This window comes from Homo sapiens, chromosome 11 (assembly GCF_000001405.40).
Source record: "Homo sapiens chromosome 11, GRCh38.p14 Primary Assembly".
Classification (NCBI taxonomy): Eukaryota; Metazoa; Chordata; class Mammalia; order Primates; family Hominidae; genus Homo; species Homo sapiens.
In genome coordinates this window covers 18932214-18947166 of record NC_000011.10, presented here as the reverse complement: position 1 = coordinate 18947166, position 14953 = coordinate 18932214, and the positions used below count along the sequence as shown (strand labels likewise).

Genomic DNA, 14953 nt, shown 5'->3' with positions numbered 1-14953 from the left:
ACTCTCATTATTTTGAGATATGTTCCATCAATACCTAGTTGATTGAGAGTTTTTAACATGAAGGGATGTTGAATTTTATCAAAGGCTTTTTCTGCATCTATTGAGATAATCACATGGTGTTTGTTATTGGTTCTGTTTATGTGATGGATTACACTTATTGATTTGCATATGTTGAACCAGCCTTGCATCCCAGGGATGAAGCTGACTTGATCGTGGTGGATAAGCTTTTTGATGTGCTGCTGGATTCGGTTTGCCATTATTTTATTGAGGATTTTTACATCGATGTTCCTCAGGGTTATTGGCCTGAAATTTTCTTTTTTTGTTGTGTCTCTGCCAGGTTTTGGTATCAGGATGAAGCTGGCCTCATGAGTTAGGGAGGAGATCTTTTTTTTCTGTTGTTTGGAATCCTTTCAGAAGGAGTGGTAACAGCTCCTCTTTGTGCCTCTGGTAGAATTTGTCTGTCAATCCATCTGGTCTTGAACTTTTTTTCATTGATAGGCTATTAATTATTGCTTCAATTTCAGAACTTGTTATTGGTCTATTCAGGGATTTGGCTTCTTCCTGGTTTCATCGGAGGAGGGTGTATGTGTCCAGGAATTTATCCATTTCTTCTAGATTTTCTAGTTGATTTGCTTAGAGATGTTTATAGTATTCTCTGATGGTAGTTGTATTTCTGTGGGATCAGTGGTGATATCCCCTCTATCATTGTTTATTGTGTCTATTTGATTCTTCTCTCTTCTTCTTTACTAGTCTAGCTAGTGGTCTATCTATCTTGTTAATGTTTTGAAAAAGCCAGCTTCTGGATTCATTGATTTTTTTGAAGGGTTTTTCGTGTTTCTAGCTCCTTCAGTTCTGCTCTGATCTTAGTTATTTCTTGTCTTCTGCTAGCTTTTGAAGTTGCTTGCTCTTGCTTCTCTAGTTTTTTAAATTGTGATGTTAGGGTGTTGATTTCAAGCCTTTTCAGCTTTCTGATATGGGCATTTGGTATATAAATTTCTCTCTTAACACTGCTTTAGCTGTGTCCCATAGATTCTGGTACATTGTCTCTTTGTTCTCATTGATTTCAAAGAACGTCTTTATTTCTGCCTTAATTTTGTTATTTACCCAGTAGTCATTCAGGAGCAGGTTGTTCAATTTCCATGTAGTTGTGTGGTTTTGAGTGAGTTTCTTAATCCTGAGTTCTAATTTGATTGTACTGCAGTCAGAGAGATTGTTTGTTATTGTTTCCAATCTTTTGTATTTGCTGAGGAGTATTTTACTTCCAGTTATGTGGTCGATTTTTAGAATAAGTGCTATGTGGCACTGAGAAGACTGTATATTCTGTTGATTTGGGGTGGAGAGTTCTGTCGATGTCTATTAGGTTCACTTGGTCCAGAGCTGAGTTCAAGTCCTGAATATCCTTGTTTTCTGTCTCTTTGATCTAATATTGACAGTGGGGTGTAAAAGTCTCCTGCTATTATTATGTGGGAGTCTAAGTCTCTTTGTAGGTCTGTAAGAACTTGTTTTATGAATGTGGGTGCTCCTGTATTGGGTGCATATATATTTAGGATAGTTAGTTCTTCTTGTTGCCTTGATCCCTTTACCATTATGTAATGCCCTCCTTTGTCTTTTTTGATCTTCATTAGTTAAAGACTGTTTTATCAGAGACTAAGATTGCAACCGCTGCTTTTTTTTGCTTTCCATTTGCTTGGCAAATATTTTTCCATCCCTTTATCTTGAGCCTATGTGTGTCTTTGCACGTGAGATGAGTCTCCTGAATATAGCACACCTATGGGTCTTCACTGTTTATCCAATTTGCCTGATGCTAGCTGGGTATTTTGCACATTAGTTAATGCAGTTTCTTCATAGTGTCATTGGTCTTTATATTTTAGCGTGTTTTTGCAGTGGCTGGTACCAGTTTTTCCTTTCTATATTTAGTGCTTCCTTCAGGAGCTCCTGTAAGGCAGGCCTGGTGATGACAAAATCCCTTACAATTTGCCTGTCGGGAAAGGATTTTTTTTCTTCTTTCCTTATGGAGCTTAGATTGGCTGGATATGAAACTCACGGTTGAAAATTCTTTTCTTTAAGAATGTTGAATATTGGCCCCCACTCTCTTCTGCCTTGTGGAGTTCCTGCAAAGAGATCCGCTGTTATTCTGATGGGCTTCCCTTTTAGGTAGCCTGACCTTTCTCTCTTGCTGCCTTTAACATTTTTTCCTTTATTTCAACTTTGGAGAATCTAACAATTATGTGTCTTGGGGTTGCTCTTCCCGAGGAATATCTTAGTGTTGTTCTCTCTGTTTCCTAAATTTGAATGCTGGCCTGTCTTGCTAGGATGGTGAAGTTCTCCTGGATAATATCCTGAAGTGTATTTTTGAACTTGGTTCCATTCTCCCCATCACCTTCAGTTGCACCAATCAATTGTAGGTTTGTCTATTCACATAGTCCCATATTTCTTGGAGGTTTTGTTCATTCATTTTCATTCTTTTTTCTCTAATCTAGTCTTCATGCCTTATTTCAGTAAGTTGATCTCCAACCTCTGATATTCTTTCTTCTGCTTGATTGATTCAGCTATTGATACTTGTGTATACTTCACAAAGTCCTTGTGCTGTGTTTTTCAGCTCCATCAGGTCACTTATGTTCCTCTCTGTACTGGTTATTCTAGTTAGCAGTTCCTGTAACCTTTTATCAAGGTTCTTAGCTTTCTTGCATTGGGTTAGAATATGCTCCTTTAGCTCAGAGGAGTTTGTTATTACCCACCTTTTGAAGCCTACTTCTGTCAATTCATCAGTCTCATTCTCCATGCAGTTTTGCGCTGTTGCTTGAGAGGAGTTGCGATAGTTTGGAGGAGAAGAGGCTTTCTGGTTTTTGGAATTTTCAGTATTTTTGCACTGCTTTCCTCATATTTCTGGATTTATCTACATTTGATCTTTTAGGCCGATAACCTTTGGGTGGGGTTTTTGTGTGGGGGTCTTTTTAGTTGATGTTGATGTTATTGCTTTCTGTTTGCTAGTTGGTCTTCTAACAGTCAGGCCTCTCTTCTGCAGGTCGGCTGCAGTTTGCTGGAGGTCCAATCCAGACCCTGTTCACCTGGGTATCACCAGTGGAGGCTGCAGAACAGCAAAAGATGGCTGCCTGATCCTTTCTCTGGAAGCTTCATTCCAGAGGGGCACTGGCCTGATGCCAACTAGAGCTCTCCTGTATGAGGTGTCTGTCCACCCCTGTTAGGAGGTCTCTCCCAGTTGGGAGGCACGGGGGTCAGGGACCCACTTGAGGAGGCAATCTGTCCCTTAGCAGAGCTGGTGCACTGTGCTGGGAGAACCCCCCTTGTCAGGATCAGCTGCTATCTTCAGAGGCAGCAGGCAGGAAAGATTAAATCTGCTGCGGTTGCGCCCACAGCCTCCCCTTCCCCCACGTGCTCCATCCCAGGGAGATAGGAATTTTATCTGTAAACCCCTGACTGCGCCTGCTGTCTGTCCTTCAGAGATGTCCTGCCCAGTGAGGAGGAATCTAGAGAAGTAGTCTGGCCATAGCTGCTTAGCCGCGCTGTGGTGAATTCCGCCCAGTCCAAACCTCCCAGCCTTCTTAGCACTGTCAGGGGAAAACCGCCTACTAAAGCCTCAGGAATGGCGGATACCCCTCTCTCCACAAAGCTCAATCGCCCCAGGTCGACTTCAGACTGCTGCGCCGGCAGTGAGAATTTCAAGCCAGTGGTTCTTTGCTTGCTGGGCTCTGTGGGAGTGGGACCCATTGAGGCAGGGGACCACTTGTCTCCCTGGCTTCAGCCCCCTTTCCAGGGGAGTGAACGGATCTGTCTCACTGGAGTTCCAGGCACCACTGGGGTATGAAAAAAACTCCTGCATCTAGGTCGGTCTCTGCCCAAACAGCTGCCCAATATTGTGCTTGAAACCCAGAGCCCTGGTGGTGTAGGCACACGAGGGAATCTCCTGATCTGCGGATCGCAAAAACCATTTCAAAAGCGTAGTACTGGGCTGGTAGCAGGGTTCCTCACAGCTTCCCTTGATTGGGGGACAGGTGTCCCCTGGCTCCTTGTACTTCGCAGATGAAGCGATGCCCCACCCTGCTTCTCCTTGCTCTCCGTGGGTTGTACACACTGCCTAACCAGTCTCAATGAGATGAACTGGGTACCTGAGTTGGAAATGCAGAAATCACCAGTCTTCTGCGTTGGTCCCGCTGGGAGCTGCAGACCAGAACTGTTTTTATTTGGCCATCTTGGCCCCCCTCCTGTACAGATTTTTAAGTGAACACAGTTTCCCAGTTTCTAGGATACATTTTCCAGGTTCTAGGATACGCTGGATTGCTGGATTATATGAAAATGCAAGAAGATTTCCCAGAGTAGCTCTACTATTTTACTTTCTCATTGGCAGTGTATGAGACCTCCAATTCCTTCAAATCTCAGCCAATATTTGAAACTATCAGTATTTTATATTTTAGCCATATTGAGAGGGTAGAGTGGTATCTCGTGACTTTTATTTGTTGTCCTAAACATTAGTGATGTTGAGCATCTTTTTATGTGTTTATTTGTCATGCATATATGTCCTTGCTGAAGTATCAGTTCGTCTTTTACCCTGCTTGAATCCAGCTCTCCACTAACTCCATGCCTGTTCCCATAGAACAGAGTGTGGCTGCAGCACAACACACAACCATGCCCAGCGGTTTCACTGTACATTTATAACCTTGAACCTGAAAGGTCCATTTATATCTCCTGAACACTCACGTAACATTTCCATAATTGCCTCTCACTCTCCAAAGGAAAATCTTCACGACATTTTCTCTCTCCTGAAACCGCCTACTCTTTATTTATTTTTTTAATCACTGTCAGGTGATGCTCTTCTGAGAATTACTCAATCTCCCCAGAGGGAACCTACCTCCCCATGTGCCTCTGAGCACACCTCTCTGCATTTTCTCTCATGCCAGGAAATGGGCTCTGCAAATTCCTGTTTGAAACCACCCTTTCCATTTGTGCAGTTTCCCCTTTTGCCTCCCCAGAAACATTTTATAGCATTATTGCCTCTCCCTTCTACATCTTCAATGTTTCCTTCTCTAATGGATCCTTCCATTGCAACTGAAACACCCCATCCTATTTGTGGCATAAAACACCATCTAAGCAACCATTCGTCTCTATCCACAGCCTGATTTATCTTCTTTATTTTAGAAAAAAATATCTTCCAAAGAGATTTCTGTACTCATTATCTTCATTTCCTCACCCTTCCTTGTATCTTCTCATATCTCTAACTCCCTCTCTTAGCTAGATCATTAAATTTATGTTTTTTGTTTGAAAATTTATTTGTGACATGGTAATAAAGTCAAAGCTTTCAAAAATAATCTTTAAATACACTCACTGAAAACTGTCATTCCCATTTTAGGTCCTCAGGCATCCTTGCCTTGTTAACAAAGACATATCCTATTATACTTACTAATAAGTGTATATTAATTCACAAATATTTAATAATAAAACAATATATATATTTTTCATACAATATATACATTGGTCTGCATTCTTTTTAAAAAATCTAACAAATTCTGCAGGGCCTTTTATATCAGGTTTGTTGCTCTTTCTGGGTAGCTACAGAGTATTCTATTGCATAGATAGACAGTAATTTATACAGTATTGATGGCCATTTTGGCTGTTACCAGTTTTTGACTGTAAATAACACTGCATTTATTAACTCAGAACATAGATCTTTTGAACATGCACAAATATATCTCTAAGATAAATTCTTAGATGAGGAATTACAGAGAGAAAAGGATGGTGCTTTATACATGCTTCCATATGTTGAAAACAGCCTTCACTGGAAGTTGTATCCATCTGCATCCCCAGCAGAAATGAGTGAGGGTACCTGATCCCACTCCATCCCCACACTGTATGCTATAAAACTTAATGGTTTTTTAGATTTTGGTAAATAAAATATAACTCTGTAATTTCAATTGGCATGTCTTTCATTATGAGTTGAATTTCTCCTCTTTCCATATGTTTAGGAGCCATTTTTATTTTTTAGAAATTGTGAATCATGACTTAAAGTTATTTTCTTATTACCTTTTTCAATTTTGAATTATTAACATCATTTAGAAAAATTTGTATCAATAGAGAAAATTTATACTTTGGCTATAACATACATTACCAAACATCTCCCAGTTTATTTATTTAATTTTATTAATTTACTAATTTATTTCTTGAGATGGAGTCTCGTTCTGTCACCCAAGCTGGAGTGCAGAGGCACAGTCTTGGCTCACTGCAAATTTCGTCTACTAGGTTCAATCCATTCTCTTGCTCAGCCTCTCGAGCAGCTGGGATTACAAGCGTGTCCCACCACAACGAATTAATTTTTGTATTTTTAGTAGAGACCAGGTTTCACCATGGTGGCCAGGCTGGTCTCATACTCCTGACCTCAGGTGATCTGCCTGCCTTGGCCTCCCAAAGTGCTGGGATTACAGGGGTGAACCACCATGCCTGGCCACAGTTTATTTATATCTTGATTATGATGGTTAATGTTATGCTAAAAAAAATAACTTTTTTTTTTTTTGAGACAAAGTCTGGCTCTATCAGCCAGGGGAGTGCAATGGTGTGATGTCAGCTCACTGTAACCTCCACGGCCTGGGCTCAAGCCATCCTGCCACCACAACGTCCCAGGTAGCTGGGACTACAGACATGCACCACCACACCAGGCTAGTTTTTGTATTTTTTGTAGAAACGGGTTTTCACTATGTTGCCCAGAATGGTCTCAAACTTGTAAGCTCAAGCAATCCACCCACGCAGCCTCCCAAAGTGCTGGGATTACAGGAATGGGCCATCACAGCTAGCCTTTTTGTCTTTATAAATATTTTCTTTAATATCTTCTGAATTGTATCCTATAATTGAAAGTCTTTTTCCACTTTGATTTAAAAACTATTTGGCTATGGCTTCTCCAGGTAATTGTATTTTCATTATAAAATTTTAAGTAGTGTATTTGCATGTATCCTCAAATCATATGTAAAGTATGTTTCCACCTTTACTTATTTCACACAGAAACTCAGTTGTCCCAATCCCATTCATTCAATTGTGCCTGTTTTACACACTACTTTGATATACAACCTTTATCATAATAGGCATACATTGAAGATATTAGAAGTCCACTTCCACTACTGCAATAAAGCAAATATTACAATAAAGTGAATCACATGAATTTTTGGTGTCCCGGTACATGTAAAATTTATGCTTACACTATACTGTACTCTATTGAGTCTCAATGGCATTATGTCTAAAGCAATGTGCATGCATTACTTAAAAAAATACTTTTTCACTAAGAAATGGTAACCAGCATCAGAAACTTTATCAAGCCAAACGTTTTGCTGCTGGAGGGTCTTGCTTGATATTGATGGCTGCTGAAGTGGCTGCTGAAGGTAAGACAGGCTGTGCCAATATCTTAAAACAAGACAACAGTGAAGTCTGCCACATCAACTGACTCATCCTTTTATGAAAGATTTTAATGTAGCATGCAATGCTATTTGCATAGCATTTTATACACAATAGAACTTCTTTTAAAATGGGAGTCCATTCTCTCAAACTGCGCCACTGTTTTTATCAAGCAAGTTGAACAAGATGGAATGTGATGGGAGAGGCTTATCTCTATTGGATATGGGACAGAGGCCAAGAATCATCTCAGGTAGGGTTTGTGTCTCCAATACCTCTGGCCACTGATTTGTCCATAGTCCTCATACAGGAAATAACAAGTCTGTCCAGCATCTTCATAAGCCTGGATTGCTCACCAGCTTTGACTCCAGCTCCTGTATGCATCTCCTGAATTAAGCAACACAGAAGGGTTCTCTGAAGTCACTGAATCCCAGAAAGGCCCTCCACCTTTAGCACAAGGGACGTCTTCACCACTGGACAAAGGAGAAAAAGATAAGGGTAAGTACCAAGATTTGTCTTCTTCCATAGTCAGTCATGGTTTTTGCTATAAGATCGTTTCTGTTTCCACCTAGGTGCTACAGGCAGGGGATCATGAGCTTGTTTCAGGAAAAGACAGGGGACATGAAGTTTCCTTCTGGAAACTGAGTGCTGCCAACCCAGACTGTGTGAGTTTCAACTGGAGTCCCCCCATTTGATTTATCTGTCCATATCACCTCCCTTATTCCAATCACTGAACCTGTCCTCTTAGAGAAAATGCTGCCTCTCACATTCATTTAAGGAGCTAGAGGACATGCAAGCATTGCTTCACAGAGTTGAACTGCTGTAGAAGCAGGTTTTGTTGTTTTACTTACTTTTCTAAATTATTATTCCTTGCCTGTCTGGAAAGGTTCAAGGAAGAAATAGGTGGTCCAAACTGAAATGACTGAGGAGTGTTTCGTGAGGGAAGTATTTACAAAGATGTGCAAGGTTAAGGGAAAGAGACAATGCATGGGTCAGCACCCTAAGCAACAATACATAGGGGAGGACTAAGTCCTCCCCTAGGCTGAAAGGGAGAAGGAAGGAGCAGTTACCATTGTCGCCATAGCCATAGCTGTAGCCATAGGGGTGGTAGAGCTCCAGCAGGCAGGTGGAGAAGCCTTGCACGGCCAACACACAGCCACACAGGCTGATATGCTTTGGATCTGTGTCCCCAACCAAATCTCAGGTTGATTGTAATTCCCAGTGTTGGAGGGAGGGCCTGGTGGGAGGTGATTAAATAGTGGGGATGGTTTCTCATAAATGGCTTAACACTATCCCCCTTCGGTATTGCCTTAGTGATAGTGAGTTCTCATGCAATCTAGTTGTTTAAAAGTGTGTAGCACCTCTTCCCTGTCTCTCTTGCTCCTGCTCTCACCATGTGAGATGACTTGCTCCCCCTTTGCCTTTCACCATGATTGGAAGCTTCCTGAGGCCTTCTTAGAAGCAGAAGCTGCTATGCTTCTTGCATAGCCCGCAGAGCCATAAGCCAATTAAACCTGTTTTCTTCATAAATTTCCCAGTCTCAGGTATTTCTTTGTAGCAATTCAAGAATGAACTAATACACAGGCAGAGAGCCAGGAGGTGGAAATCCCAAGTGGCTCTCCTGCTGTCTTCCAGTCTCATCCAGGTGTCTCCCAGTGTCTCAATTCCACCAGAAACTGGAATTAAAAAGAATCCCACTGATGTGGTGCATAGAAGCCACTCTCTTGGGGTGTCAAACAGGATAGAGAAGAATGGAAAGCAAATCATCATAGCAAATGAGACTATCCCTCTCTCCTTCTTATATCCTCCTAATTCCTGGGACAGTCTCTGTCTACAGGTGATTGATTCCTGTCTCATTTCAGCTCTTTCAGACTACTTTAATGTTCGGCATGTCTTTCTCTACTGTCACTTCTATGCAGAAATGTTTGCATTCATCCAAAATGCATAGAAAATAAAATGTAATTTTAAAAAGAGAACATATTTCTTTTGTTTAGAATACAAGTTTGACCCCTCTCATAAAGACACAAAGTAGAAATATCTTAAATAAGAAAGTACAGTGGTGCCTCTGGGTCACTAGGTCCTGAATCTGCAGATTCAACAACCCACAGGTGGAAACTGTTCCAAAAATAAGGGTATGGCGGAGGTGTGCATGTACTGAACAGGTACAAACTTGTTTTTCCTTGTCATTACTTCTGAAATAACACAGTAAAACAAGAACTTACATGGCATTTGCATTTTGTCAGTTATTCTAAGTAACTTAGAAGTGATTTAATGTATCTGGGAGAAAGTGCATAGGTTTTGTACAACTATCACATCATTTTATATAAGGAAATTGAGCATCTGCAGATTTTGGTGTGTGCTGGGGTAGCAGCACACACATCTGCCATATGCGAAAGCCCCTGTGAATATCCAGAAATGACACTCTTTGAGATCAGTGCGGGAAGCTCCAAGGCATCGTACATCAGAATTCCAAAAACTGCTACTCTCGAGTCCCTAGAGAGTTGCCCTCATACCTGTGATCCTATATGGTTCCCAGCCACACCAGCATTTCAGCATGATGGAAAAAAAATAAGGAAAGGAGATGCGTTGCTCCTGCTATTGGTCCTGTGAGCCAGGACTTGCTTACATCACTTTTGTGCATCTTTCACTGAACAGCACCTGGTCATAAAATGGCACCCAGCATCAAGGAAAACTGGAATGTAGGTCCTTGTGCCGCTTTTAAACTCTCAGAATTTTTATGTGACCAAACAGGAAAATGAACACTGGGGCAACCTAGCAGTCTCTTCTGCCTCTGTCTCTGATTCTGTACTCACATCAAGATTTTTCAGGAACTCCTCTGAAATAATGAATCATGCGGCAGAGAACCATACAGAAGTCTCATGCAGGGCTCCAGGGACCAGGGGCTGGCATTGGGCCTGCTCTTCGTGTTGTGAACTCATGAAAACACTTTAATTCTCTAGGCCTCGGCTTCATCTTATGTTATATTAAGATAATACCATAGATGATCTTTAAAGAACACATGCTAAATGTTGGTGATACCACAGTGGAAAAGACAGGCATGACTAGCCGTTATGAAGCTTCAGGTTTCATGAGGAAGACAAACACACCATTACCCTAAATATAGAGGGACAATGTGTTTAGTGCCCTGCCTGTGGATAACAGAGGTTCTCCTTTTCCTCCCATTTCCTTTTTGGGCCAAGCAAGGCTGTGGCAGCTTGTCTCTCTAAGAGAGCTCATGATGGATGCACTCACTCCTGATGCTCCTCTGTAATCCCAGAGGAGGGTGAGTCTTCTTTCCACCTGGAGGCCTCCTGTCCCTGTGCATTCTCGGGATTCCAGAGCAAAGGTGGCCTCTGATAGGCAAAAAGGAACTCCTGAATTTGTTACTAAATGGCTTTCACTCTTCTCTATTTTGTTCCCTATTTGACCTGCTTCTCTTTCTCTATCTGAAGTTGGTTTAGGTTAGTTTTTTTTTTTTTCAACCCACAATTTTGCCGCCAACTTGGATTTAATCTTGAGAATCCCTCCTCTCCTTTACCCGCTCTAACATGTATAATCGACACAGAGTCGTGCTGGGTGTAAAGGGCTGCTCAAAGACTGGATCATGAGTCAGCCCTGCTGGGCTCAAATTCATACTATATAAGTCCCAGAATGAATAATTCACTCTTTTTGTGTTCCAATGCATTATCTGACATATGGGAATAATACTCATTCTTAACTCCTAGGCTCTTCAGATAATTAAAACAGACAATACCTAATAAACTCTCCATCAGCTGCTCTTATTCTCCCAGATTAGACCCAGTCCTCATTCTCCAGTTGAAATCTACATGAATATCTCTCTTTATACTCCAAGCCCTACATATCTCCTATTTCGCCTCATGGACTCCTCACATACAAATGTTTGCATCAACAAAGAAACGAACCAAAGATCTCCTGAAAGAAAGAATGAAATAGGTTTATATTGTGTATACTCAGCAGAATACTCAGTAGTGCCCCACAGATATTCCCACACTTTAATTACCTGCTGCAGTGGCACTCAGGCTCACCCTCACTTACTCTTTCCTCTGTTCTATTGCTGAGCAATTCAGCTCAGACCCACACCCTACCCAAAACACTGTGTACAAAATGCTTCTAGGGGTTCGGCAAAGCCACACTGAGTCCTTATTTTAAAGGCACATCAGTGGTCAATTTCAGGTTTTGGGCACTCATCAATCATTCTTCTCAACACAGATAGAGCTGTCCACAAATAGAATTCTGATGAATGAAATTTTCTGTACCTAATTAAACATGGGTGTTCTAATAACTTACATTGTGCTTTCATTTTTGTTTTCCATTTCACCCAAATCTACCATTACCATTAGGCTTCTCATGCATGCATTCATTCATTGAATGAATGTATATGAAAAGCACAGTGTGCTGCTTATGGAATAGGCACTAGGAGTATAAAATGTAAAATGTGGTCCTGTCTGCAATGACTGACATGCTGAGTTATTTCTCACCCACCAGGCCCAGCCATTTTCACACTTATCCTAGCGAAGGTCACATTTTCCTCTGGTTCATAATGCATGGTCTCCTTTCCTGTCCATGGATGATCAGTCCTGGTCATGAGGGTGTCACAACCACCTCTTTGCATACCTGAATTCCTCCCCCTGAGAGAAAATTTCAGGCCCAGGATAGAGTAATCATCGGGTCCACAGCCCTGGCTAGATGAGTGGGGGTGTTTTGATCCTAATGTTATTCCCATGTTAGCACAGAACTTGTGTGGCAGTAGAGAGAGGTCAGGCTTCAGAGTCAGCAAGAACTGGATTTCAAACTGGATTTGAGGACCCCCACCTTTTGATAGGTGACTTATTCTCTGTGAGTCTCTGATCTGCCCTCTTTAAATGAGGAAGTAAATCCCACATGGCAGGGTGGTGGGGAGAATCAGAGATCATACAGCTGGTGATCACAACTGGTTTCTGTTTCCAGGGTCACCAGACTAGGGTTTCTGAGCATGGATCCAACCATCTCAACCTTGGACACAGAACTGACACCAATCAACGGAACTGAGGAGACTCTTTGCTACAAGCAGACCTTGAGCCTCACGGTGCTGACGTGCATCGTTTCCCTTGTCGGGCTGACAGGAAACGCAGTTGTGCTCTGGCTCCTGGGCTGCCGCATGCGCAGGAACGCCTTCTCCATCTACATCCTCAACTTGGCCGCAGCAGACTTCCTCTTCCTCAGCGGCCGCCTTATATATTCCCTGTTAAGCTTCATCAGTATCCCCCATACCATCTCTAAAATCCTCTATCCTGTGATGATGTTTTCCTACTTTGCAGGCCTGAGCTTTCTGAGTGCCGTGAGCACCGAGCGCTGCCTGTCCGTCCTGTGGCCCATCTGGTACCGCTGCCACCGCCCCACACACCTGTCAGCGGTGGTGTGTGTCCTGCTCTGGGCCCTGTCCCTGCTGCGGAGCATCCTGGAGTGGATGTTATGTGGCTTCCTGTTCAGTGGTGCTGATTCTGCTTGGTGTCAAACATCAGATTTCATCACAGTCGCGTGGCTGATTTTTTTATGTGTGGTTCTCTGTGGGTCCAGCCTGGTCCTGCTGATCAGGATTCTCTGTGGATCCCGGAAGATACCGCTGACCAGGCTGTACGTGACCATCCTGCTCACAGTACTGGTCTTCCTCCTCTGTGGCCTGCCCTTTGGCATTCAGTTTTTCCTATTTTTATGGATCCACGTGGACAGGGAAGTCTTATTTTGTCATGTTCATCTAGTTTCTATTTTCCTGTCCGCTCTTAACAGCAGTGCCAACCCCATCATTTACTTCTTCGTGGGCTCCTTTAGGCAGCGTCAAAATAGGCAGAACCTGAAGCTGGTTCTCCAGAGGGCTCTGCAGGACGCGTCTGAGGTGGATGAAGGTGGAGGGCAGCTTCCTGAGGAAATCCTGGAGCTGTCGGGAAGCAGATTGGAGCAGTGAGGAAGAGCCTCTGCCCTGTCAGACAGGACTTTGAGAGCAACACTGCCCTGCCACCCTTGACAATTATATGCGTTTTTCTTAGCCTTCTGCCTCAGAAATGTCTCAGTGGTTCCTCAAGGTCTTCAAATAGATGTTTATCTAACCTGACAGTTGCGGTTTTCACCCATGGAAAGCATTAGTCTGACAGTACAATGTTTAGATTCTCCTTGATATTACCAACACATTTTCCCTGTTATCTCACACTGAATCTTTCCTACAGAACACTTTTTCTGCAATTTTCTTTGTAATAAAAGGAGTTCCTGTACAAAACCCTAAAACACTCTTTATACTTCTTTCCTACCTGATAGCATCAAAAAGGAAGATTCCTTATTAATCTCTCAGACTATGTTCCCCTGAAAATCATGTTCCCTTCTATGACTGGAGGCATTACTGCAGTTAGAAGCTCGATTCTTAATAAGTGAGTTCTGCTATCTCTACATTCCATTGAATTCTCAGATACAGAGCAAAATAATGTCCTTAGAGACAGACTCTCTCTTCATAAAAACACTCTCACCTATTGGTTTTATAAAAAGTCTTCCCCTGTCATTTGTTCACAGCATGGTGATATGTTGGCCTTGGTTTCTAGTAAAGACAACTGTGGCCCCTTCCCCTTGAGAACTTTTAAGTGCTTATTTAGCTCTTCCTGGACTAATGGACCAGTGAGGAGCCCATAAATGTGCCCCAGTTCTATTTTGGCCATTGGAAACCTCAATATTGGTTTCAAAGTGGAAATTATCTTGAAAACCATTTATTATTTGCTTACAGACTCTTTCAGTTGTAGAAGAATTCTTCATACTTCCAGGTTTTGTACAAATTGTTCTGGCTGTAACTTTCAGTTAGTTAAATGGCCATTAACATGAGAGGCAAGACTGATAACATCTGACTTTTCCATGCTAATGTCAATTATGGTATCTTGATAATAACTTACAGTTGGTATAGAATTCTGATACATGCTTGACATAGATGAACCTGGAAACATTCTGCTAAGGAAAATAAGCCAGATACCAAAGAACAGTAAGTTCAAATTCTACCAGGTATCCAAACTAGGAAATTCGTGAACACAGAAATTAAATTAGGAGGATCCTGGTGCTAGATGATGGGGAGAATATGTAGCCATTATTAAATGAGCACAGAATTTCTGTGTGGAATAATGAAAAATTCTTAAAAGGGACAGTAGTAACAGTTACAACTTATTGTGAATGTACTTACTGACACTGATTGTACACTTAAAATGGTTAAAGATGTAAAATGTATGTTATGTAAATTTTACCACAATTAAAAACAGTTAATTATAGAAATGGGATCAGTACAAAATTCAGGACTATTCCCCACCAGTGGTTATAATTTCCACAGATAACTCAAGCAGGCAGAAGAGATTATCAAGAGAAAATGTGACATCACAGCAATTAACCCTCACTGAGGGGAGCTGACAACTGCAATTTGAGTACGCAGGAGACTGTACAAAGTAGCTGTGAAACCAATAAAGAGGTATATAGTTTTCAATTTGTCCAACCAAATTTATTGGTGGCACTTATAACACTGTTCACAATGTTGAACTCAGGT

General features: G+C 41.8%; 1 protein-coding gene across 2 annotated transcripts, besides 1 other annotated feature; it reads left to right on the top strand.

The window, feature by feature from the left end:
* Window positions 3610–4111: an enhancer, noted in NCBI's record as "H3K4me1 hESC enhancer chr11:18964603-18965104 (GRCh37/hg19 assembly coordinates)". NCBI's record gives its function as "activates a minimal SCP1, AML or CMV promoter by ChIP-STARR-seq in naive and primed H9 embryonic stem cells {active_cell/tissue: H9 hESC(naive and primed)}" and the evidence as "EXISTENCE:reporter gene assay evidence [ECO:0000049][PMID:30033119]".
* Window positions 7753–13668, top strand: MRGPRX1 (MAS related GPR family member X1). 2 transcript variants are annotated; one of them, NM_001393578.1, is made up of 2 exons: window positions 7753–7887; window positions 12358–13668. In NM_001393578.1, exon 2 carries the CDS (start codon window positions 12383–12385, stop codon window positions 13349–13351), a length of 969 nt encoding a protein of 322 aa, NP_001380507.1. In that variant the 5' UTR covers window positions 7753–7887; window positions 12358–12382; the 3' UTR covers window positions 13352–13668. The 2 variants fall into 2 exon arrangements, with proteins under 2 accessions (NP_001380507.1, NP_671732.3); NM_147199.4 differs by lacking the exon at window positions 7753–7887 and having other exon boundaries at window positions 12165–13668.
* Window positions 13669–14953: the final 1285 nt, after the last annotated feature.